At 40.9% G+C, this 27228-nt stretch overlaps 1 protein-coding gene across 11 annotated transcripts in view, besides 2 other annotated features; it reads left to right on the top strand.

The window, feature by feature from the left end:
• The window catches only part of FOXP1 (forkhead box P1), a 629271-nt gene that overhangs the window by 400619 nt on the left and 201424 nt on the right, over window positions 1–27228 (top strand). The gene's annotated exons all lie outside the window — the stretch shown is intronic.
• Window positions 17484–17633: a silencer, noted in NCBI's record as "fragment chr3:71214878-71215027 (GRCh37/hg19 assembly coordinates)". NCBI's record gives its function as "represses an EF-1alpha promoter that drives an FKBP-Casp9 reporter gene in an ReSE screen in K562 erythroleukemia cells {active_cell/tissue: K562}" and the evidence as "EXISTENCE:reporter gene assay evidence [ECO:0000049][PMID:32094911]".
• Window positions 25975–26680: an enhancer, noted in NCBI's record as "H3K27ac-H3K4me1 hESC enhancer chr3:71205831-71206536 (GRCh37/hg19 assembly coordinates)". NCBI's record gives its function as "activates a minimal SCP1, AML or CMV promoter by ChIP-STARR-seq in primed H9 embryonic stem cells {active_cell/tissue: H9 hESC(primed)}" and the evidence as "EXISTENCE:reporter gene assay evidence [ECO:0000049][PMID:30033119]".

Raw genomic sequence — 27228 nt, 5'->3', positions numbered from 1 at the left:
TGCCCAGCTAATGTTTTTTTGTATTTTTAGTAGAGACAGGTTTTCACCATGTTGGCCAGGCTGGTCTTGAACTCCAGACCTCAAATGATCCACCCGCCTCGGCCTCCCAAAGTGCTGGGATTACAGGCATGAGCCTCCATGCATGGCCAACTTTTGGTATTCTTATCATCATCACCACCACCGCCATGATCATCATCACCAGGAATTTAACCTACCGAAATAATGTGAGGCATGCAGAAAGATTTATGCCTAAGGATGTTCATTGTAATGGTATTTACAATATGAAAAATTAAATGCACCCTAAATCTCTAACCTTAGAAGAAGGTTAAAAAATGCTAACATATAAGTTTGATATAATATTAATTATATACCCATTAAAATGTAGAACATTTAATTACTTTAAAAATTATCATAATGTAATGATTGCTGGGGGAAAAACCTAAAAGCAACATGCTGTCAATGGTTTTTTTTGGGGGGGTCTGTTAATGGGATTATAGTTTATTTTATATACATTAAGCCAGGCATGGCGGCTCATGCCTGTAATTCCTGCACTTTGGGAGGCTAAGGCTGGAAGATCACCTGAGCTCAGGAGTTCGAGATCAGTCTGGGCAGCTTAGACCTCGTATCTACTAAAAATTAAGAAAAACAACAACAACAACAAACTTAGCTGGGCATGGCGGCACTTGCCTGTAGTCCCAGCTACTCAGGAGGCTGAGGTGGGAGAATCACTTGAGCCCCAGGAGGCTGAGACTGCAGTGAGCCATGACTGGTGACAGCAAGACCCTGTCTCTACTAAAAAAAAAAAAAAAAGAATATATACATATATACACACACACACACACACACACACACACACATATATATAGTTTACACTTTTCTGTATATCCCCAAATTTCTACAATAACATGTATTGCCTTTATAATAAAAATGAACAGTTATTTTTAATTTAATTCACATTCACACTGTTGGAAAACTCTTGTGAGATATATAAAAATGATATATATAAATGGCAGAGAATACCTGCACCTTGAACAAGATTTATTTTTTGCATAGGAATAAGGGAATACAATTTGTGCAGGTACAAGGATTTTCTCCCATAATGTCTTTAAGTTTTCCGCTACCACTTAGCTGCTCCCTGGTGTTATCTCTCCACAGGGAGATCTCTGCCTCACTTCTAGGTGCTTCCACCATCAAATTTGACAACCACTACTCATTATCTAACATTTTGTGACAAAAATCACTTTCCTGTCAATAAAAAGAGTATGGATTTTTAAAAAACCACATTTGTTTTCTTTTTCTTTTTTTTTCTTTTTTTTCTTTTTTTTGAGATGGAGTCTCGCTCTGTCACCCAGGCTGGAGTGCAGTGGCGCGATCTCGGCTCACTGCAAGCTCTGCCTCCCAGGTTCACGCCATTCTCCTGCCTCAGCCTCCTGAGTAGCTGGGACTACAGGCACCCACCACCATGCCTGGCTAATTTTTTTGTATTTTTTTAGTAGAGATAGGGTTTCACCATGTTAGCCAGGATAGTCTTGATCTCCTGACCTCATCATCCGTCCTCCTCAGCCTCTCAAAGTGTTGGGATTACAGGCGTGAGCCACCGCGCCCGGCCACATTTGTTTTCTTTAAATTTCCACCACTGCTCCCCACTTCTAAGTTTCTTCCCAGTCTGTGTGGGCTTAATCATGTCGCATGTCCACAGTCATTACAGATACACTTCGTTGCTTACCCCATTTCATGTTGTTTCTGCTAGAGACTGATTTAAACTGCCCTGGGGAGCTGGAAAGGGCAGGAGGAATATTTTATTGGAGGCATTTTGGAATGCCACTGATGAGAGTTGAAAACCCACCCACCAGCGCCTACACTCGATGAGTGAAGTTGGGCAAGTTTTGCCATCTCTCACAGCCTCACTTTTCTCATCTGTAAAACAGGGCAATAGAGATAACTTCCTGAGAGGGTCGATGTGATGAATATGCTAAATAATTTATTGACCTTGGCACAATAGCCAACCCTTTAAAACGTGCTCCTTACTTTATTATTGTCCTTTCTTAGAATCTTTTGAAGACTGGGAAAAGCCATGGTTGAGGTCTTGGGGACCCAAAGGTGGAGGTCAGGAGGGAATCAAGTTGTTCTTAGAACCGTTCCATTTTTTAGCCCACCTCATCCGCTTTATATTAAAATCCAATCATCTTGGGTCATTGTAGATATGGCTGTTGGAGACCTCCAAGGAGAACCCTTCTCCATGGAAGTACAGTTCTGTCTTTCCTCATTGAGGCGATAAATGGAACTCAGTACGAATTCTTATTTGACAGGCAAACCTTCATTTAGAAACTGACCTCTACTTGGAGACTGCAGGGAACCGGTTCTTGTGGGCAATTAGTGCCCCAATTTACCATTTTAGAAAAGAAAACACATATCCTAATCAATACAGAATTTCTCCACCATACCTACTAGCAACGTTACTGAAGGGGCCCCACACACAAATGTTTTAAATTTAGACGCAGAGTTAAGGACACAGTTTGCCTCCAGAATCTGAATTGAATCAGGGTTTTATTTCAGATAAAATCTTTGGGGCTCATAACTTAAAAAACACAACTTTTACTGGCATTACGCAATTTGCCACGGGTCATTTAGCAAAATGTTTGTATATGTAAGCCCAGGTTCTTCTTTTTAAAAAAGGAAGGGTGGAGGGCGGGGATTGGATTTTGCTGAAATCCAGGTGGCGTTTCAGTTTATATTTAATTTTAATTGGAAATCAAATACAGGCAAGGGAGAAAAAAATCTACCATGTTTTCTTTACTAAGAGTATCCTTTGGGGAGAGGAAGGACACTGCCAGCCAGATTTTAAGAAGCAGCTTTTTTATTGGCATGTCTATTTTTTTTTCTTGCTAAATTCTTGTGCCTGCATTTTTTTTTAAAACATCTACGATTTTACACGTGGCAAAGACTTTCATGTCTCAATGTTCCTTGCTGCCGTCTTTCTATATTTTCCATGGGATTAGTACCTAGAACCAAGACAGCAAATAATTATATACTACATATAATCAGTAGCTTCCTAGGCTGTTACCTGGTGAGTCTCTTTTTTAGGTTCTAGTCTGAAATAATACATGATTCTTGTGGCCCGTGTTGATTTCTGGAAGGCTGAGGAAGTTTCTAAAGAATCAAGAACAAGAAAAACAAAAAGGTGGGTTTTTTTTTTAAGCAAGAACTTTAGAAGGTCTTCCGATTTCTGAGTATAAGTAGCTGTAGGTGCATCTTGTAAAACTCCCATAAAATATTGGCAGAGAGACTATGGCATAATTAGAGAATGGTTGCTGAGTGTGCTGGAAGAGGTGGCGAGACAGTCACTTCACTCCACCAGTGCCTACAAAATATCCCATGTGCCAGAGCTGAGTGAAATCCTCAGCACTGGCTCTGTGTAATGCTTGGGTGCAATTCAGATGTTTTCAATTGGAAATTGAATAGCAAATAATTTTGAATTTTCAACGGCACAATTAATGACACATTCGTTGTAGAAAAATTAGAAGATGCAACTAAGAAAGCAAACAGAGAAAAAAGCTATATCGCTTGCAATCCTGTTTAATGGAGGTAACAACTGTTAACATTTCAGTGGATACCCTGTTTTCCCTTTCTTGTAAAAATCATGTCTTCTCATTTTATGTATTTGTATTCTCATTGCCACCATCGAACATTATAGATGAGAAAAGAGCTAGCAGTAATGTTGCTGATGAGTGAGAATTGTGAGGGTTAATTCTCTTACATGGTGTTTCACATTTTCATCTTAATTTTAATTTCACATTTTGTGTGTTTACAGTTTTAAGGGAAAATTCATGTTCTTGGTTTCAAGTGGCATCATTCATGGGCTAATGTTTTTCTAACTCCTCCCCTCTTCATCTTCTTCCAGCTGTGCCAGGTAATTCCATATTTAGGCACAATTCTTAAACAGTTATTGTTAAGACTTGTGTAGTGGCTCACACCTGTAATCCCAGCACTTTGAGAGGCCGAGGCAGGTGGATCACTTGAACTCAGGAGTTCAAAAACCTGTCTCTACTAAAAATACAAAAAAATTAGCTGGGCGTGGTGGCAGGCACCTGTAATCCCAGCTACTCGGGAGGCTGAGGCAGGAGAATCGCTTGAACCCGGGAGGCGGAGGTTGCAGTGAGCTGAGGTTGTGCTACTCAGCCTGGGTGACAGAAAGTGACTCCGTCTCAAAAAAAAAAAAAAAAAAGATTGTTAAGAGGAAACTTCCAACATGGTAAAATAGGTAGGCCATCCTAGTTTCAATAAATGAGTATATTTCTTCCTTTTATTGAAAATCCTGAACATCTTGTCAATTTTTTTTTTTTTTTTTTAGACAGAGTGCCTCCCAGGGTCAAATGATTCTCATGCCTTAGCCTCTCAAGTAGCTGGGATTACAGGCATGCACCACCACACCCAGATAATTTTTGTTTTTTTTTTGTTTGTTTGTTTTTTGTTTTTGAGTTGGAGTCTCGCTCTGTCGCCCAGGCTGCAGTGCAGTGGTGCGATCTTGGCTCACTGCAAGCTCCGCCTCCCAGGTTCCTGCCATTCTCCTGCTTCAGCCTCCCAAGTAGCTGGGACTACAGGCGCCTGCCACCTTGCCTGGCTAATTTTTTTGTATTTTTAGTAGAGACAGGGTTTCACCATGTTAGCCAGGATGGTCTCGATCTCCTGACCTCGTGATCCGCCTGCCTCGGCCTCCCAAAGTGCTGGGATTACAGGCTTGAGACACCGCACCCGGCCAATTTTTGTATTTTTAGTAGAGGCAAGGTGTCACCACATTGACCAGGCTGGTCTCAAGCTCCTGGCCTCAAGTGATCCACCTGCCTTGGCCTCCCAAATGCAGTGATTACAGGCATGAGTGAGCCACTGCACCCAGCTGTCAAAGATGTTTATGGGTTAGAAATTACTGGCCGGGCGCGATGGCTCACGCCTCTCATCCCAGCACTTTGAGAGACCGAAGCGGGTGGATTACGAGGTCAGGAGACTGAGACCATCTTGGCCAACATGGTGAAACCCCGCCTCTACTAAAATACAAACAAATTAGCCAGGTGTGGTGGTACGTGCCTGTAATCCCAGCTACTTGGGAGACTGAGGCAGGGGAATTGCTTGAACCCGGGAGGCGGAGGTTGCAGGGAGCTGAGATCGCGCCACTGCATTCCAGCCTGGTGACAGAGCAAGACTCTCTCAAAAAAAAAAAAAAAAAGACTGACTGGGTGTGGTGGCTCACACCTGTAAATCCCAGCACTTTGGGAGGCCGAGGCAGGATGATTTCTTGAACCCAGGAGTTCAAGACCAGCCTGGGCAACATAGCGAGACCTCATCTTTACTAAAAATAAAAAATAGCCAGGTGTGGTGGCACATGCCTGTGGTCCCAGATACTAGGAAGGCTGAGATGAAAGGTGAGCCTGGGAGGTCAAGGCTGCAGTGAACCATGATCGCACCACTGCCCTCCAGCTTGGGCAACAGAGCGAGACCCTTTCTCAAAAAAAAAAAAAAAAAAAGAAAGAAAGAAAAGAAAATAAACTATCAGTATTATTAGTAGTAAGAGTAGTAGAAGTAATAATAATAGCAATGGAAAATTTATGGAAAGCCTCTGCTCTCCATACTCATGCTTAGTACTGTACCTGTGTTAGTACAGTTCCTTCTCACAAGCACCCTGTGAGCTAAGTACTTTTAAAATACTTGTTCTACACAGGAAGAAACTTAATTAGCTGCCCACGCTCGTTCACACAGCTTACGACTGGACAAGCCCAGATTTCACCCTACATCTGCCCGACTCCAGAGCCTGAGCTCTTCATCAGAGCTCTCAAGCATCTCTTACTGTGTTTGTTTATTGTGGTGATGATCAGTTCATTCTGAAAGGATTTCTCCCATTTTGCCTGCTCTCCTTCCCCATTGAGTTTCCTGAAATGTTTTGTCATTCAGAATCATTCCACTTCAACCCAACTTTTCTTGCTGAGTTCAGAAAGCAAATACTAAGTATTCCCATAGACAGCAGCTTTTCCATTTCCACCCTCTCCTATTTTCAGATGGAGCCCTTATTTGTAGCAGATGTACCTAATTTTACTCTTAAGCAACTGCGCCTTGTAACTTAGGTTGGTTTCATTTCATTTCAACGGGAGAGAGTCCTGCTTCACACCTGTTGCAGTGTGTCCTTCCAGTGAACACCCAAGCCTGGCACCGTCAGACCGAAGTTAGCCTGATTCCATCTGTTTCTAAAACACTTTGATTGGAAGGCCTTTGTTTTCTTTCTTCCTTTTTTTCATTTGTTTTTGTTTTTGAGACAAGCCTTGCTCTGTTGCCCAGGCTGGAGTGCAGTGGCACGATCTCGGCTCACTGCAACCTCCGCCTCCCAGGTTCCATTGATCCTCTTGCCTCAAACTCCTTAGTAGCTGGGACTACAGGCGCCCACCACCACACCCGGCTAATTTTTTGTATTTTTAGTAGAGATGGGGTTTCACGATGTTGGCCAGGCTGGTCTTGAACTCCTGACCTCAAGCTGTCTGCCCACATCAGCCTCCCAAAGTGCTGGGATTATAGGCGTGAGCCACCGCACCCGCCCCCCGGCTCTTTTTTTTTTTTTTTTTTTTTTTTTTTTGAGATAGCCTCTTGCTCTGTTGCCCTGGCTGGAGTAGTACAGTAGTCCAATCATAGCTCACTGCAGCCTTGAACTCCTGGGCTCAAGCAATCCTCCCACCCGAGCCTCTCAAGTAGGTGAAGCTACAGGCACATGCCACCAGGCCCAGCCAGCAGGCCTTTGTTTTATCCAGAAATAGCAGAAATTCGGCAGTGCCTCTGGTGGTGACGTTTGCAGCATGCTATAGGCAATAAAGCTAAGGCATTAGGGTCCTGAAGGATCTGAACCATACCTCCAGCACAGAAAACTTTTCTGATTGCTGTCTCCTTTGACTGGTCAGGGGGATGGAAGTATTGCTTCTAAGAACGCGGAAATCTGGGTTTATTAATAAGGCTGCACATAATAAATTGCAAGTAAGTAGTGGTGGTTGCAACTGGTATTTTATAGACAACTGAAAAGCAGCTATTTTGAGTTTGACATGGTCCCCTTTATTGCCCTTGTGTTTGGGAACATGGAACCCGAAGACTTAAACTGTAGACTTTCTCCAGGTGCCCCAAACAGCTGTCACACACTGACAGGATGAGGGAAATACCTTCTGTGTTTTCTTAGGATTATGTAACAGGCTTGAACCCTATTCTGACCAACAAAAATGTATTTGGATAAAATATTTCTGGTACCTTGTGTTTCTTGAGGAAATTATTCACCCAGCTTCACTGATTAATGAGTTAGTCCTTTTGAAGTTGCCACAGTTACTTTCGTTATTTTAATAACTGGGGAGAGTGGATTATTTTGCTTCAAGAGTGATTAGCTCTGTTGAGAAAATGTCCTTTGCTCCCTGAGTGGTATTTTGTGTTCCTGTGTCTGTGTCTCACCTGCTTTGCTCACATAGAACACTGCTCCAGTCAACAAAGAACAATTGCTTAGCACGATAAATAAAAGATAGTACTCACAAACGAGGTATGATGGGACTTAGGGTAGGAGTTTTAAAGATTCATAACCTACAAGTCAAACTATGTACATTTCCCTAGCAGCAAAAGCATATATTTGTTTCCGGTTTAGGAAAGTCTTTACCTTTCCTGGCTTATTTTATGAAGTCAGCTGATTACCCGGAGTCCGTGAGTCCTTGCTTTACCATGAAATCACTAACATCTTAGTTGGTCACCATTCTGGATCAGCACAAAAGCCCAACTAACTAGGCTACAGAGGATCATTTTTAGTCTGTCTTTATCTCTCTCTCACCTTTGAAAAACAAGCTGATGGGTCTGCTTTTGAAAAGAACAGTGGAAAAGGCTGAAAAGCAATCTTATTTGAAGAAAAGTCATCAATTGAAAATCTCCCAGTTTTGGGGCTGCTATTGGAGAGGCAGGGAGCCTCCATTCCTTGAAGGTGTCATCGTGGCCACATACGTGTTGTCAGTGCAAAAAAGAGACACACTTGATGGGCCAAAGAAGTAAGTCAAGCTCTTTTGATTCCCAGAATGAGAAATGAAGTACATGCATGTTTCTGGGTGGCTTACATATTTGCCCCTCAAGCTACTTTGAAAGTCCAAAATAGGCCGGGTGCGGTGGCTCAAGCCTGTAATCCCAGCACTTTGGGAGGCCAAGGCGGATGGATCACGAGGTCAGGAGTTCGAGACCAGCCTGGCCAATATAGTGAAACCTCGTCTCTACTGAAAACACAAAAAATTAGCGAGGCGTGGTGGCAGGCGCTTGTAATCCCAGCTACTGGGGAGGCTGAGGCAGGAGAATGGCTTGAACCCGGGGGCGGAGGTTGCAGTGAGCTGAGATCATGGCGCTGCTCTCCAGTCTGGGCAACAAGAGCGAGACTCCATCTCAAAAAAAAAAAAAAACATTTATGTACTCCAACTTGGTCATACCTGCAATCTGCTGTGTCCTTGATTCTTCTACCCTTCTCTTCCTACCCTGGGGTATATTGGGGTGTGTGTGTGTGTGTGTGTGTGTGTGTGTGTGTGTGTGTGTATGCATGTGCATACATTGTGTATTCGCTTTGCTCCTTATTCCTTATCTGTAGAGTCATAGCATTTCTAAAATTCCTTAGATGATCCAGACTCACATTTTATGGATGAAGAAACTAAGCTCAGACAGAATAAAGGCTTTGTCCTTTGATTAACTTTTGCATGGATACCCCTGATGTATTCAGAAACAGTCTTGTGGGGTATGATGTGGACCCTTCCATGATCTGTGAAGATGGATGAAATCAGGAATTTTATTTCTATGGTACTGACACTATTAACAACAACAATTCATACATAGGGTATGTGTGTATTACTATGTACATGTATGTCTGTGTTTTCCTGGTTTCCTTTGTTTGTTTGTTTGTTTTTGAGACAGGATCTTGCCGTGTTGCCCAGGCTGGAGTGCAGTGGCTATTTAGAGGCAGCTGGGCTCAAGCAAATCTCCTGCCTCACCCTCCCCAGTAGCTGGGACTACAGGTGCATGCCGCTGCACCCAGCTTACTCTTAAATTCTCACTATCAGTTATTGGGAAGTGGGTTTTTCCCCCCTCCACAGTAATCTTTCTACAATAAGGATCTGTAAACTCTAAATTTTCTTTTAAGTAGTAAAAAAATTGTTTTTGGCTTTGGAGGCTGTTCTTTCTGTCACAAATACTCCATATGAAAGCAGCTATAGATCTTACATAAATAATGGATCTGTCTGTGTTCTAGTAAAACTTTACTTACAAAAACAGAGGACTAGGGCAGTAGTTTGCAAAACCCTTCCTAGACCATGCATAGATGGGTATTTTTTCTGTGTAGAGGGTGGTAAAGTTCCCCTGCTAATCACATGATACTGTAAGATTGGTAACTTTATTTTGTCACTTTCTTCTTCAACAACAATTACAACAAAAACTTCCCCATTTCATCCTTCCCACCATGGTTGGTTTCCCAACTCCCATTCCTTAAAGCTTCCTTCATTGTGGTTTTCCTGATGACTTCAAGCCCATGTTTTCTTGAATGCTGTTGGAAAGAGGCTTAGACTTCCCAGAATATGCCAGCAATCCCTGGTGAGATGACTTCAGCCCTCATCTCCACATCTAATTGTTATCAGCCATGCAGGAGATAACCTCGGTAATTCCTTACTAGATATTCATAGTCTTCATGAACTGGCCTATTGTCACCCACACCCCCACCCTCACTTTAAAGTTGCCTTTCACTGAATTTCTAACTGGAATGTGTAGCATCTTAACTTTGGCCTAGGCCTTCTGCTTCTCCATGTCTAATGTATGGTTTTACTAATGTATGACAGCTAATATGTTGCATCAGAAGATCATGCTATCCTATGCTTGCAGGACTTTTTATGCAGGGCAAGAACTAAGGCAAAAAGTGTGTGTGTGTGTGTGTGTGTGTGTGTGTGTGTGTGTGAATTTTTTCTTTTTTTTCTAAATTGAGGCAGTTCCCATTCTAGAAATTTTGTGAATAGAGTCAGGCTGATTGGGTAGTGATGGTGAGGAGAAGAGAATGGAGACTGGGGTTGAGACAGTCTCATGAAATATCTTACTGGCTGATTATTCCTATCCAACTATGATGATTTTTCAGAAATCTTTAGGGATACTGACTCATTTTCTTAGGCAATAGATGAGAAACTTTCAGTAGAGGGGGAAAAAAGGTGACCTCTGGACCAATAGGGAAAAAAAAGCAATCTCTCAAGTTTGCAAAATGCATGGGCTCTTGCGAAAAATCTGAGAATGTTGATAGAGGTTTCAGCCAGCCTGAGTGTTGCTGCTGTAACTTACCCTGTGATTTGAAGCAAGTCACTCACTCTTTGAGCCTCTGGATACGACTTCATTTCTAAGTTTACTTTTGCCTCTGAAACTGTATGTTGCTTCTCCTATCTTAAGTTTCTGAGTAAACTAGAAATCAGACTCAGTTTGAGACAATTGGCGCTTCAGTAATTTTGGGGGAAGGTGGTACCTCACAAATCAGTGGGCAGGGCAGCCCTTTAAAAATGGAATTCCAGGCAGCTAACGAAATTTCCCAGCAACAAGTAAAAATACCAACAGTGAATCCAGAAGGAAGAGGGAAGGAAGATAGAAGGAAATCCTCATTTTGAACACAGGACCAATCAACAAGGTGGGATGCAAAACTCTTGGTGAGAAAACCTAGGATTCGGAGTCCCTGCCCTCCTGCCTTCTGTCCTGGTGACCTTAGGCAGTTGCTTAGCCTCAGTTTTTTCATCTGTAAAATAAGGTTAATAATAACTGCCCTGCACACCTCAGAGGAGTATTAGAGGAAGCAAGTGAAGTGTTATAGGTCAAAATGCCTGGTAAGCAATGAAACACTACATAAATGTAGGTGTCACCATTATTGGATGCGATTTTCATTTGCTTTACATTCTTTGAGACTCTCACATATTTTGAAACCCGATGGATTCCCTCGAGACCCTTCATGTTGTTGTAGGACTGCAGGGATTTAGTTCCTTGGGATTTCTGTTGAGTAATTCTGCACATAACCAACAGGGCATTAAAAAGCAGGCATATTCTATTTTTCCAAGATTTTTGTTCTTTTCCTTTAGTGTAATGTATCAGAAACTTTTCATTTTATAACAAAAGGCACTGTTTGTGAATTTTCTTGTATTAAAAAAAAAGTAATGGAGGACTACCCTCGAGCTTCCAGAAAACAAAAGCCACGATATCCATGATTAAGCAAAGGAGGCTACATGAGATTTGGCAGGAAGGATAGCAGGTTGGGTTGTTACTTATCAAAGGAATATTTGCTGTTGGCCTTAGTATAATAATGTTAATGAGATTATTAGGTGGGGGAGATTTTTAATAAATAATTGATAAGGATTAGAAAGTGCCTTTTCTGCAAATAAACTTCAGAATAATTAATATTCATGGACTCTGTTTGTCAACAGAAAAATGTAAATGAAGAGCCGGTCCCATCACCAGACACACGTCCTGAAGGACATCTGTAAGATAGGGTTAAAGATAGAAAAGGTGAATGCAGAGGCCTGGCCCAGACCCCAGCCCTGTGTGTCAATACAACTTTTCACGTTGTTACATACACATTTTCCAGTCTGTGTCTCCCTCTGAAAGAAACCCTGAAATTCAGGTTGCTAATAGATTGTTGGTTGCAAGTATGAAGGACAGAGGAGGTAAGAGAGGAGGCAACTTGCTAATGCAAAAGCAGTGTACTGAAAGTCACTTTTATTTCTTATTTATAATCTACATGCACACTCTGGATAATAGATGACACTGCTCATTCAGTACTTTAACTTCAAAGCAGAGAGAAGCCATGGATGACAGAGCCGGGAGCGGGAATACAAAGGTACTAACAACAAGAGGAAAAATGCCTGTTTACGGGATTGCATTTGTTAGCACGCTCTCTTCAGATATTGTTCCCCCAGGAATAGCGAAAATATGTGCAGCGCGAACAATGATTTAACATCTGAAAATGGTACTTAAAGAGTTTCTGTCTGGTAGTAATGTGATGGAGGCTTCTGAAGGGAACCTGGGGACTTCATTTCTTCTATTTATCTATATGTCTCTCTGGTTTTAGTGAGCGGTAATTGCATATTTAACCCCTCAAATAGCTTTAACCCTCACGATGCCAACTTTTTACCCTGTATAAAATGTACTTTTATCCCAGCAAAGGCAGACTCAGAAATTCCCTAGCCAAAAAATTATTTAAATTAAAAAAAAAAAAAAGTGAGTGTGTATTTGTATGAATGGATGGAAGGCTGGATGGATGGATGGCTGAAAAGAAGTTATAGCAGCATTTTGCAGTTAGTTTTAGGTGAAGAATCATGCCCGCCTTCCTGGTTTGGAAGAAGACCAGTTAAAGTACAGATATTATAAAGAGTGAAAACTCAAACAAAAAGAAGAAAAGAAAGACGGACTAAAACAACTGTGTTTTTATTTTGAATTCATTGTGGCTGGAGCTCAGAGAGGAAAGAGACGGCCCCATGGAAGGAAGTTGTAGATGGACGCTGAATCAAGAGTATAAATTTGCCGCATGCCTCAGCAATATGGTTTTCTCAATTAGTGGTCGTTCTGGGAGGCCTGCTTAACAGCTTATGCGAAACAAATATTAACACAAATTGTATAATTACATCAAAATCCCAAATTCCTCAAAGATGCAAAATGGTTTTCAGCTAAGAATACGCGAGCAATAAAACATCCTATAGTCAAAAGAAGCACACTCCAAGGAAACCATGAAGACTGGATCCGAGCGACTTTCACAGTTTATTTTCATGGTATTTAAATTATGATACCAGTGGGTATTTTTAATTAGTGTGCACTTGTCTACATAAGCCATGTTGGCAAATTTGACTCATTCATACAGTAGTTGCTGTAAAAGAGGCCAGCACAGCCTGCAGGAATTAAAATTAAAAGTTTCTGCAAGCTGTTGTCGACATGACCATATCTCATTAACTTTAAAAATGGAGATTATTTGCCTGAAAGCTTGATTTGACTAGCAGTAATCAAATATTAGGCTCAACGGAGTGAGGGCGTGGGGGGAGCGTCATTGTTGTGATATATACCGCTAAGTGTTTTGCAGTTCACTTTAAATAGCAATATAAGATTTTTGTTTTGACAAAAGGGATAGGAAAGAGAAACACAGACATATGGCCTTGAAAGTATTATTAGGACAGTTTTATTTTAGATTAAGACTCATTATTTACTAAGTTTGCTGAAGATAAATACGATTGTGCTGATTACCAGTTCTCCTCTCATTAAGCAGGCTGATTAATTATCTGGAGTAGCTCCCCCTGCTTGATCAAAGTTTAAGTATTGGAAATGGGGCCTATCTCGTGATTATCTTTTCTTTTTTCAATGCTAATTGGCATGAAACTTAAATTTGTACATTCGATTCATCCCATCGTTTTAACTAAATATGATGGAGGTTGCAAAATTGTGCGTAAAATGAACCAAAATAGAAGAGCCTTCTTCTTATCTACTCTTTAAATAGCTTGTTATTTGAATTACATATCTGAGCAAAAAATCTTTTTTTTTTTTTTTTGCCAGTAATTTTTTAGCCAGTAATTAAGGAGCCTAATGTTGAAAACCTAAAGTAACTGAAATATGGTAGACATGGGCTCATTTTAGACCCTGTTTTATATTTTCTCAGGCACAAAAGAACATTTCTAATGCATCAGGATAAACTATAAGATGAAGATACATTTGCGGGGGGCGGTGGGGGAGGAAGGAAAGATAAAAGGTGCAGTTAAACAAAAGCCAGAAGATAAAGTCTTACACCTTTTTATGTCTTTGAACTGAGAACATGCTCTGCATTTTACTAAAGGAACATGAGGCTAGAATGTAAGTAACTGGTTTTTGCATTAGGCTCTCCCTGGAGGTAGCAGAAAAATATCATGTCCCTGCATGAAATGTGAATGTGAAATCTACCAGAAAGAAATATTTATGACCATTTTATGCTTGATTAGGCTTGGATGACATCTGTTAGAAGACAGGGACTGGACAAAGAGAGAGACGCTCGGGGGCAAATGTTAACGGAGTTGTTTAGAAGACGCTAGGGCAGAGGCGTCCATTTACTGCCAGGCAAAACACAGGAATTGTGTTAGCAAGAGTGCAGCTGACAGGCGTCCACTGTGATGGAGACACTGTAAACTGACTCGATGAAATAGTCAAATACAGCTGTTGATAGTCACGGCACCACCTCAGTTTATGAGCAGGTATCTATGCTTAACCCTGATCCAGTAACTTCCAGGATGCTGGCACCTTAATCAAGTTACATAAATGTGACTCAGCTGTAAAAAGAGCTCATCTTCACTTTTTCAAGTGAGTTTTACGCTCTCCTCCCATGCGGGCTCAGCAGCACTGAGAAACTCTTCTCTATTTCTCTGTGAAAGGAGAAGTAATTAAATCGCAAAGTTACCTCTGTACCCATCTATAACCTGTCTCTTTCCTTATCTTAAGTTTCCCCTGTTTAAAAAAAGAAAAATCTAGGCCCCTTGGTTCTATAGAAGTACTTCATCACTTTAAACAGTGCAAATGTTTGCCTAAAAACGGGGGAAAAAAGTTTTCCAGCACTGGCAAACATTTTATCAATTGTTAAACATTTCACTGTTCAAGTAAGTGCTGTTTGTCTGAAGAAATGGCTCTACCAAGAGTGGAGGTATGAGCAGTTATTTCATTCTGGTTCTTTTCCCAGCTTCTTTTCCTGTAAATTTTCTGTCTGGAATGCTGATGGGAAATGTTATTTTGTTTTTGTTTGCAGCAGTTCTGTTGTTTTGATTTTGTCTGAGTGGTATGGAAAACAGTACGTCACTTAGAGTGGGTGTTTTGTCTACCGGCCATTTGGCCATTGCACATATATTTCTCATACTTATTACATGATGACAAGGGAACCGACAAGGCACAATTTTCCAGTTGAATTTTTCTTTCCAGTTTAATAATAGTGAAAAAAGAAAACAAAGTTAATAGATTTAGCAGTTTGATGGTACTCATGATGTGATAGCTGACTTTGTTTTGTTTTTTTTTTCTTTTAAACTCATTCCTTGTGGTTAAGGAGGTATTTAGGTAAAGGTCAGATTAATGCATACATCAGTTTCTATAATAAACTGTATGTGGTTACAGTGTTTCACATTTTGCATAGAGTTGCGAAATTCGGTAATTTAAGCAGGAAAATTCATAAAAGGATAATAAACAATTTTAACGTCATTCCTATGATTAGCCTGGGGTACTCTTGCCCTGGTTTTAGGCCACATGTAACAAACCTCTATCAATAAATGCGTCTTAATTAAAATTATTTGAAATGAAATTTGGATGAAAACCCAGCATACAAATCTCAAAGAATAACTTAAGGCTGTTTACTGGCTCAGTTTGGACATGCTTTATCTGAAATCATTCTCAGCATTTGCAATGTTAAGGAACATATTGCAGGAGTGTAGAAGTTAGCTCTACAAGTAAGTAATTTTTAGTGTAATACAAAAATATAAAATGGAAACCACGATTAATTTTTCAGTTTCTCTCTGCAGGTATCTAATCATTGTACCCATGGACCGCCAGAGGCTCCCATTAAAGATTTAAAATGCAAGAGGAAGGTAGAATCCAAAAGATGGGATTTGGGATTAAATAATGTAAAATAACTGCAGGGCAGTAATGAAGTGAAAGCTATTGGTGCAGTAAGACATCCTCTTAAGACTTTCTTGGGATCCACTTAAAATATTGACACTGACACACAGTGTCAGAGATTTGATATAAATAAAATTATTTGTAACTGATTAAGTTCTAAAACCATGTTTTTCATCTTTCCGACATTAGCTTTCACCAAATAATAATAATCAATAATAATAACAACATCAACAAGAAACTATCAGAAAAGCTCTCTGAAAATTCACACGTGCTCTCTTACGCTTTAAATACTGCCCTGTTATTAAAGGATTTTGCCTGCAATGTTATACTAATGTATGTTGCTTCTTCCTTGAGGATTTTAGTTATAGATGGGGAAACGCAATGGTTGGGGGTCACCTGTATATGTCCAGAGTGATTTTCTTCAAATCAAGGGAACTTTTATAATCTGAAAGAAAGGGACATCACCGCCTTCGTATATAAAAGCTGTCAGTGCGGTCCAGCCGGGCTTCTCCAGGCTCTGCTGTACTGTCTTTATCACTTTGCTCAGTTCCACATAATAACATCTTCATCTGAGATTGCTGTGGCACAGGGGAACTGCATTTGTTGATCAAATTTGGCTGGATAACACTGTGATCTCGTATCCTGAAGTGCGGAGATGTGCCTGGAATATGTAAGTGCAAAGCTGGCCTCTTGATTGATTGATTCTGCCTGTCACAGAACAAGATAACCGGATCAGTAAATACCCTGTGCACTTCAACATCATCTCCACAATCAAAAGTGAGGGCATTACGGGGCTGGAAAAACACTGGAGCATGATGGGAATGCACACAATTCAGAAGGATCGTCAAGAACATATATATGTAGACACACACACAGAGAAAATAAAATTCTTTGTGTGTGTTTTTGTTTTTGCTTTTTGTTTTTTTAAGAAAAGGACAGCATTAAAAAAGTATTTTCTGTGTGTTTAGAATGCTTTCTGGTTGTAAAAGTAGTTTATTTTGCAGCAGTCATCTTGGAGGTGTTCAGCATTTATCATAAAAAGTTGTTATTCAAGTTTTGTTTACAGAAGAGATTTAGAATGCAGATTAGGGAAACAGAGCTGGAGAAGAGGCCAGTAGTGGTCTCAAGCACAAAAGGAGCTTGCACCCAAGAGTTGCTCCTATTAAAATAAACAAGAAGTTTAAACAGATGGGCCAAACACATGTAAACAAGTTGTTTAAACTTTTTACTAAATTCCCAGGGAGTGCCTTTCAAAATTAGCATGGGTTGCCAAATTTGGTGTTTAATTACACAGAAAGTTCAAGAAAAGTTTAAAGAATGGAACTGCGTGAATCTTTGGAAGATGGGGGCCGTAACAGGTTTCCAGGTGTCATTAATGATTCATGGCTCTGTGATGGTCACGCTAGCGGCTCTTGTCACCCCCCACTTGCTTGTGTTCCTCTCATGTACTTGTCTTTTCCTCTCATAAGACTGTAAGCTCCTTGAAGGCAAGGGCTGCCTTTTCTTCCTGTGTCTGTGCCCCCATTTTCCTGGAAGACTCCCTGCACATACTACACAGAAAATGGCAAGTGGGCCAAGGAGGCGCTAAGTATTGGGCTGTCTTCTTAAGTGTTTCTCAGAGTGATTGTTACTTCCCAAGATATTATTGGTCACCAGAATTTGGCTAATGTTTTAACCTGGAGTCATTCTTTTGGGGAACTTGTTTTCTTAATGTCAAGCAATCCAGTGAGAATGTTTAGCCTTCTGTCTTCATACAAAGTGAAAGATTGAGTTCAGTTGCTCAAACGTGGTGCTTCTGTTACCACCAGCAACACAGTTACTTGATGATCACGTTGCTTCTCATTCTACAACCTGGACTGGTGGCTGATGGAGCCTGTTGCCTGCCTCACCTATGAATTTTGCACAGACCTCCAAGTGGTTCGTGGCATGCCATGTGGCATTCTGGTTGTCTCGGATGCCTCTGGGTGGGTGATGTCTAGACCATTCTGGCCATATTTTTTCTTTTTTTGTTTTGTTTGGCTTAAATCGACACCTGTCCCCCTCCTAGTTTGCCTCCATGGACCACATGGCAAATTTAAGGCAAGGCAAGGTGGGGTTTAGAACCAGCCATTAAGACAAGAAACTTCTGTCTTCGAAGAAATTTCTCCCATGGAAGGAAGGTATACATTAGTTAAAACAAACATTTCAATAGAAATTTTTATATAGCGAAACCAGCTCTCACACCTAAGAAAAAATTATTACCACTTTTGAAATGTCTGGTTAGTCCTTTGTGACTGACTTGTTTTTTATTCGAAATGATTAAAAATGCCTTTTGGCAGAATTGGTCTCCTTAATTTTTTGAATATAAAGAAAGCTTAAATGAGGTAAACGTTCATTAAACACAAAAACATTCGTGAGCTGCTGATGATTTTAGAGAAGTCATTCTGGGAAACAGGTTTTGATTTTTTTTTTTTTTTTTTTTACAAAAAAATAGCTTTCAATTTGGTAAAAGCTATTCCTAGTAACGTTTTATAAAATCATCTTCTTTTCAGGGTGTGTTTTATTTCCTTTCCATCCCTTTCAGGAAAGAGAAAGTGTTTTATTGGATATTTTTGTTTCAGTCCTTGTTTCCATTATTTTTGCCAAAATTCATGGGAGTTCACTTTCCGTTTAAATGCCTGAAATATTCCTTGAAGAATCTACATTTTGGGATAGCTAGGAAAAAGGCTATGTAAATTTGTTTAAGGGCTATGTAAATTGGTTTAAGGAAGAAAATAACAGTTGTAACTCTGGTCATCTTAACTACTCTCTTTTTTCTTTATAACTTTGGAGGCAAATAATTTCAAGTATAATGCGCTGGAATGTAGGAAGAGGGGGGACATTGGATTTGAAGTTCAAAGAAAGTTTGCTGTTGGTTGTATGATAAAACATTTCTTAGTTTCCGAATGAAGGGAGAAAGTAAGCTTTATTCATTGAAAAAATGGTCAATAGATTTATTATAAGAAAACATAAAACAGGTCTCTAAAAAATGTGTACACGTGAAGAGATTAGCTACAAGATTTTGGTGAAAATAATCTTTCCCCTTTTGTGAATAGACTTTCTATAAAAATGTATTAGTCTCTGGGAATTAATATTGGGAAGTTTCTGTTCAAATTCCATTCACTGTTTCTAGCAATGTGTTTTCTCCTTTGGAGCCAACTGTGCTTTCATTACTTTAAATAGAGCAGTCGGGACCGGGCGCTGTGCCTCACGCCTATAATCCCAGCACTTTGCGAGGCCGAGGCGGGCAGATCACGAGGTCAGGAGATCGAGACCATCCTGGCTAACATGGTGAAAACCTGTCTCCACTAAAAATACAAAAAATTCTCCGGGCGTGGTGGCGGGCGCCTGTAGTCCCAGCTACTCCGGAGGCTGAGGCAGGAGAATGGCATGAACCCGGGAGGCGGAGCTTGCAGTGAGCCGAGATTGCGCCACTGCACTCCAGCCTGGGCGACTGAGCAAGACTCTGTTTCAAAAAAAAATAAAAAATAAAAATAAATAAATAAGTACAGCAGTCTAAGTTGTAGGTAGCATCCATGTTTATTTCTAGCCCTAACATGGAAGAGAAACCATCTGATTATATAGGCTACTCATTACTTTGGAACCAACTCTGTTTCTTTATTTGGGGATTGGACTGATGGCATGGGATTGAGCTTTCGTCTGTGCAGAATTTTACAGACAGACTCATGTTCTGCCAGGCAGACATTCAGCCCTTGATCTTCTCACAGTCGCCATTGTGAAGGAGAGCAAGCCCTTTCTCCACACTCTCTGTGGACTACTTTCTAACTTTTCTATTGTCATGGGAGAAAAATTTAAAAAACTGATTAAAAGGGGGCAAGTGCATGGCTTCTATGAAAACTCTACCGCTCTAAACTGTGGGACTGCTTGAAACTGTTTGTTTTGGCTGGCCTCGGTGGCAAGACTGACATATTTATGTAGCAAGCTCACATGTAATATTTAACTTGGAATTTTACACATAGGAATGATGAACTAAACAGAATATAAGGTTTTGTTGTTGTTGTTGTTTCCCTGCTTGTTCTGAAATGTGAGAAAATATCGAGTTGACAAGTTTCAACATGGTCACCTCTTGCTTGGCCAGCACGATTCATAATTAGCCAAATTCCTTGATAATGCTGCAGAGATTGGGCACTGAGCAGCCGCCACGTTTGCTATGCAAGAGAGTTAATAAAATTTTTCAGTGCTGGAGGAAAGCTTATATACAGTAGTCTGTTTGTCCTGTGTTTCCACCACCTGAGTCACAGCCAAAAAAGCAATTGTCTACTACATATTTCAAACAGATGCTGAGGGGTAGAAAGGGTGACCAGAATTCACAGCAATAAAATCCCGCTCTCTAAGTTCCCTTGAAGGAAGTGAACTCATAAAATTTTTGCTGCTGACTTATTTGTCCACTCCTTTGAAGTATTTAACATTAATTTCACCTATAAATCATTGGCACCTCAATTTTTCATTGAAGTATCAGGACTGTTAAAGACATACCCTGGATGTGCCTGGAAAAAAAGATTTGGGAAGCAGATCCACTAATTTAACTGTTATTCACGTGCATCGTTTTGGTTGAAACCAATCCTAGTTACCGTCAAAGTTCTCTAACTCAAAGTCCGTTTTCTTTCTAGTTTGTATTTGTTTGTGCATATAATTACAGAAAACACATTTTAGATGGAACACCAGCTTGCTTTTTTCAGTTTCTTTCTGTTGCATTGATACATCTTCTAATGGGGAAAGACATATGATGGTACTTGGAAAAATGATGACAGCCGTAACTGGAATAATAAATGCTACCGGGAAGATTTTATCAAATGTAAAAAATAAAAATGAAGAGATCAGCCTTCAACTCAAGTACCCAGTAGCTAGACTATCAGTAGACAAGGTCTCCTACCTCATTAATCTGTGGGCTTTGATTAATTAACATATGTGGATAAAGGGGTACTATGTTCCAAAGGAAGCTTTTTGGGTTCTTTTTCCACATGTTGGCAAGTAACAATGGGTGGGGCTTCACCAGACACCTGCCCCTGTCTAAGTTTCTGTGCCTCCTGTCTCTATCAGTTTGACTTTTGCCACTGAATGTAAGTTCCAATAAGGTGGGGACCTTGTTTATGACGTTCTCTGCTATATCCTTGGTGCTTGACAAATAGTAGGAACCCAATAGATATTGGATTGGAATGGGCAGTTATTCAAAAAGTCTTAACCATCTTAACATTGGATGTCTTAATGGTACTGGCTCCCCCTTCAGTCAGAATAAAACTTCTAAAAGGATCATATGGACAATGCTTATATCAGTAGAGATGTATGAACAAAGGCTGTGGGAAGCAGTGGTTAATCAGAATTCTGGGCTAGTATTTAGTTGCATTTGTCCTAGTATTTTGGCCAGGTTTCAGTTAGCTAAGCATCTCTTATACCCTGTAATTTAGTATATGGTTTCAGCTCTCCAAATAATGGCTTGCTAATGGTAAATGCTGTTTAACTTTCTAATTCAGAGGAGCTACCTGTTCAGCAGAATTTTAAAAAATTGTAAGTGATGATTGAAACCAGGTTAAAAAGCACTTAAGGTACATCTGGCTGTATGCTTGGTGTCTACTTCGATTGGCCTGTGGCTATCATTATTCTTTTTGACTCTGCACATAAACTGCGGGTAGGGATTTTTCCTCAATTGGTCCAGAACTGAAACTTATCTATACTAAGGGAGCTTTTCCCTTTTGGGTGAATAATGCATCCTTCTTTTAGTTGCTGTGATGTGGAATGTTGGCTCAGTTTCTCTCCAGTGCCTTCAGTTATAGGTGCTCATCACTGTTGATTTTTATCTATGTAGTGGTTCTTGTGACTTCCCCATTCCCTCTAAGGACATCTGAATGTGTTGTTAAGTGATGCTAAAATTATAACCACTTAACAGATCTCTGTATCCACTGTTTTTGTTCATCCCACTCATCAAAATTTGGTTATTCTCTGTAAAGCACAACTCTGATGGCATCATTGTCTTGCTCCCTGTTTCTTAGGAAATTGAGCTTAAATTCTCTTGCTTGACATGCAGGGAATCAGGTGGATTAAAAGTGGCCACACATTCTTTTCCATTCCTTTCTTCAAGAGGTAGAGTCTAAGTGCCTTCTCACATTTACTCTGGGCAGCTGCGCTTTTCACTTGCTTTGGGCAGTAGAATGCAGTGGAAGTGACACTGTGCCAGTTCCAAGCCTGGTGGCTTTCTCTTTGTTCTGTAGGAACATGCTTGCCACTGCTGTGTCAGGAAGCTTGGGCCAAATGGCTGAATGATGAGAGGTCACGTGGAGAGAGAGGAGGGAGGATGAGAAAGAGAAAGAGACAGACAGGAAGAACTGAAGTACCCACATCTTGGAGGCCCAGATGAGCTACCAGCTGAATGCAGCTGCATAAATTACCCCAACCAAAGAATCGCCTAGCTGAGCCCAGCCAATCCCCAGAATTTTGAGAAAAAACAAATTGTTATTTTAAGCCTTCTGCGTTTTAGGATAGTTTGTTACAAAGGAATAGGGAACTGAAGCGGGAACCTTGGAAAGCAAGCCTCAATTTATCCTCCCATTCTTATTCTACATTTTCTTAGACCTTCTAAAATGTCAGGCACGTGTGACTCAGAAACCCACAAAAATGATTAGTGCTTCTCTTTGCTTATGCTATATCTTACTCCTAGAATATGTTTATACTCTATGCTTTGTACCTGGGAAATTCCTTAAGTTCAGTCACTCCCGTCTTTGGTCTTTCCTAAGGCCCCCATGACTCAGTGACTTCTGACCTCTCTCAGGCTTCTGTAGTTCAATCTACATTGGTATGAGGTTGGGGGAAAGATGATCATTAACTATTTGAGCAAGTAACATTCTCTGTGGAGGCCTTCGTTTCTACATTTGTATTAATTATCTGGCTGATTTTTCAAGTCTCAGCCTTCAGTATTCTAGAACAGATGCCCAATAAAATGCTGTGCATTGGTCATGGAATTGTTGATTTATCTGTGCAGTCCCATGAGGTAACCACTAGCCAATGTAGCTATGGAGCACCTGAAATGTGAGTGCAACTGAGGAACTGACTTCTTTATTCTTATTTAATTGTAATTAATTAATTTAAATAGCCACATGTGGCTAGTTGCTACCATTTGGGGTAGTAGGGTTTTAGAATTCTCTGGAACTCAAGTGGAAATATCTGTTTTCACTTAACGCCAACAGTGGTTTATCACTTGATTTTCACAAGATTATCAGCATTTGCTCTTCAGGATCACTTTTCAGGACCACAGATAAACAACCCAGTGGCCAAAGTTTTCCCAGTACCTGACCAGCTCCCTCTTACCTTAAATTTTCTCTTGCATTTAGAATCCTCACCTCCACCTAGAGCCAATGCTGAGACCAGTTATCTCTAGGAGTGTAAATCATCCTTTACCTTTGACCACAGCCCAAACAGAGACCAACAGGCTAGTGTGGAGTTGCAGTGTTTTACAAAACCCCAATAGGCCCAAGTTGGGGAAAAAAAAAAGAAATACATACACGGCAGTGTCAATTGAAAACCAGCCGGGTGGCAAGAACAGCGTGGTGAGGATGGAGCTGCCTTCGGCCCTTTGGTTGATTGGGACACAGTGGAGATACTGCGAAATTACCTTTTTTATTGGTTCTTGAGCCTTCTGCAGTAAATGCCTCTTCTTGAAGGAAGTGAACAGAATCCTTGTGTTCAGCTTGAATTTAGCACATGTGCATGACAGTTCTACACTTAATCTGTAATTCAGCAGAATCAGGACCTGTGGCTGTCTTACATTTGGGCTAATTTTTCTTATGAGCGTAACTGTGTTAATTAGTTCTTCTTTTGCTTATGTTTATTGTCATAAAAAATCAGTGGAAAAGTTGCATCCATTTTATTGTGTTATAAAGTATTATCATTGATAAACCCATTGTGTGTGGATCTTCCTAGATCTTGATTTTTTTTAAACCTCTTGTAAGGTAGGAAATGGAATATTAGTAAAGCCTTCCTGCATTTATGAACCAAAAGTTGAAATATCATAGAAAGGACTGCTGAAGGTCAGTTGGTCTCAACTCCACCTCACTGTACCCAGTAAGGGCTATTTATAATCAAAGAGAATGGGTTATTTGTGTAAAAAGCTCTCCAGGAAGAGAAATTCGCCAGCCTCCCTTGATGAAGCTGGGTCCGGTCAAGGAACTTACTCTTGAATCTTACTCAATTCACTTGCTAGCTCTCTTTCTTCTGCTGCAATTTAAGGCAATTTCCTCTGTCCTCTCTTGTTATAGAAAATAACTTGTTGGCATCTCCTTTGTAATAACCTGTCATATACTTGAAGGCAGTTATTAAGTCACCCCTTAGCCTTCTCTTTTTCAGGCTAAACCATCATAACCCTTTTAACCTTTCCTCGGAGGCTCCATTTTCCATCCTCTTAATCATTTTACTTGCCCTTCTCTGGATTCTCTCCAATCTTTTACAGTTTTCTAAAAACGTGAAATCAGGAAGCAGGTCCTTTATACATTACTCTCAGTTTCTGCTGATTTTCATGCGTTGTTTTTCTTTTAATTTTGAAGTACTTTTCAACTTTTTTTTTTTTTTTTTTTTTTTGAGATAGGGTTCCGCCCTGTCACCTAAGCTGAAGTGCAGTGTTGCAATCATGGCTTACTGCACCTCGACCTCCTGGGCTCCAGGGATTCTCCTACCTCAGCCTCCAGAGTATTTGGGACCAAAGGCATGCGCCATCTTGCCCAGATCATTTTTGTATTGTTTGTAGAGGTAGGGGTCTCCCTATGTTGTCCAGGCTGGTCTCGAACTCCTGGGCTCAAGTGATGACCCACCTTGGCCCCCCAAAGTGCTGGGATTACAGGCATGAGCCACCTTGCTTGGCCCTTTTCAACTGTTTATTTCCACATTCAAGCCAACCTTTGACAACGTAACATATCAGGATTTGTGATCACCATTTACCTTTTTTTTTTTTTTTTTTTGGTCTGTGGGCTGAAAGAGAATTCCAGAGGTCAAATGACTTTACCTTTCAGTCTGTGTTTATCTGTATGTTAATTTGGAGTCCTTTTAGTTTACTTCTGTTATGTTATTTACATGAAGACTTTCTCTGTTGCCTGTACCATATATGAAAAGTTTTAGAGCAGAGCATTCAGCAGACAGTGAAAAGGGAACATGCTTTGATTACTGAGCTCTCATTGGTTTCATGATCCCTGCTCACCCCTGCCTAAATGGCAGTGTCTTTGTCATCCATACCTTAGGATGAGTGCCTCAGAGGGACAGCTCAGGGGCCTCCTAACTTTGTCTGCAACTTGTCTTTCCCTTTCTGCAGGTAAGTGGGTAACATTCCCTGGGCACTATTTATTATATCATCTACTTGTGTCTTCTAACAAGCTCAGGCTCTGCAGTTACCACTTTTATTTATTGATCTACTACCTGACTTCTCCCCTTCAGGCACTCACTCACTCTTTCTGTCTCTCTTCTGTCTTTCTTTTTTCTTTCTTTCCCTTTCTTTCTTTCCCTCCCTCCTTCCCTCCTTCCTTCCTTCCCTGCCTCCCTCCCTCCTTCCCTGCCTCCCTCCCTCCCTCCCTCCCTCCCTCCCTCCCTTCCTTCCTTCCTTCCTTCCTTCTTTCGTCTTACCCTCCCACCCAGGCTGGAGTGCAGTGGTGCAATCTTGGCTCACTGTAACCTCTGCCCTCCAAGCTCAAGCGATCCTCCCGCCTCAGCCTCCCCAGTAGCTGGGACTACAGGCACACACCACCACACCAGGCTAATTTTTGTATCTTCTGATAGAGATGAGGTTTCACCATGTTGGCCTGGCTGGTCTCAAACTCCTGACCTGAGGTGACCTGCTTGCCTCAGCCTCCCAGAGTGCTGGGATTATAGGCATGAGCCACTACTCCTGGCCTCCCTCCACACTTTAGAATAGAAGCTTCATGAGGACAGGCACCTTGACTAGCTTCTTAGCCCAACTTTGTATCACTAGCCTCTAACTAGCAAAGATTTCTTCATGAAAGGCCAGAAAAGAAGTGAAGGAACAACCTGGTATCAGAAGATTTACATACTTAATGCTGTGGGTTCACAGTGTGACATTTGGCAGTACACTGGATATTACTGGCATTCCTTTCCTCTCCTATTTAATCAATAGGTTAAAGGATGTGTTCTAAAAGTTATATAAATCTCTACAACTCTTCACCTTTACAACCATATTCAGATTTAATGATTTGACTTTAATTTTCACCTTTTTGTGGGGCAGGTATGTCGGTAACATTCCAATTTGTATTTAAGAGTCATTTCAGGAGTAAACTTTTTCACACTGCCTTATCTTTTTAATATTTTGGTGTGATTTTGTTCTTGGATCCAAAAGACTATTTTTAAAAAGGCATTCCAAATTTGGAGGCATTCAAGATTGAGAAGTCCTTTCTGTGTTATTCTCTCCTCCATCCCCTCCCTCTCCTGAACCTTCTCAGCAGTCTCTTTTCGTTCTGTGTTCCAACACTCCAAAAACATGTTTGAAAATCTATACCTGTTTGGTTGTCCTATCAACATTCTCCTGGTGGTTTGCCGCCAAGGTTAGATCCAGACCTGAAGCCACTTGATTTAATTAACCTGAGGTGGCATCATCTGCTTTGCTTCTCTGCATTGGAAGTGTATGCTCCTCCACTCTCTTGTGCTTTTCCTGTACCCTCTGAACCAGGCAGTCTTTCTTTTTACTAGGCCTTGAAACTGGCTTTTCTTTAGTCACCTCGTGGTCAGGACATGCACTGTTCACCAGCTTTTCAGTCCTGATTAGCCAGCCTGGCCCAGTGTGGCAGGCAGGACCAATGGTTGCCCAGGTGTGCTGGACCTGAGCAGCCTAGGAGGCCCACCTTCCTTCCTTTTATCTCCTGGACTCCTTGCTGTGTATGGAAGCATGTCAGAATCATAGAGATTTTGTCTTCTTTTTTGCCCATTTCAAAAATTCTAGATGTCCAACTAGCCTTTGGGCACTAAAATCAAGTTCCTTTGGATGATGTTGAATTACCACTCATGCTATGGCCTCTGCCCATTAGAAAAGAGCTTATCCTCTGTTTTCCCCTGCACCATTCCAAGCCCAAATTCTGGCAGGACCCTGAACTCTCCAGGCTTCTGACACCTCTGTGCCTTTGCAAATGCTAGCCTCATTCTGCAAAATACCTTTCTCTTTGCTCACTCTTTTCCCCCCCTCCCAGGCTCATTTAAATTCTTTCATTTTTGGAAAGGCTTTCCCCTCTCCTCCTGTTTGGTGCACCCCTCCATTGAAGCACAAATGCTGCTGGGTTGTAGTTAATGGCTGAATTAAGGCCTTTGAGGCTGGCAATGTTGTATTTACCTCTCTGTGTTCAGTGCTAGATGCTGAGTAGGTGCTGAGTGCATGATGAAAGAAAGTGATACAGGGAAGAAGGTAAGAGAGCAGGAATGAGGAAGAGGACCCATCCTTCATTCCCAGAGCCATGCATCATGGGATCCCCAGGTTACTCACCTTCTCTTGAAAACTTTCACCCCCCCTCCCCCTGGAGCTGGTTCCCTTTTCCTTGTGATGCTTTGCTCTGAAAGATCACT

This window comes from Homo sapiens, chromosome 3, assembly GCF_000001405.40.
Source record: "Homo sapiens chromosome 3, GRCh38.p14 Primary Assembly".
In the NCBI taxonomy this organism is placed as follows: Eukaryota; Metazoa; Chordata; class Mammalia; order Primates; family Hominidae; genus Homo; species Homo sapiens.
The sequence above is the reverse complement of the archived record's forward strand: the minus strand, read 5'-3'. Positions and strand labels throughout refer to the sequence as shown.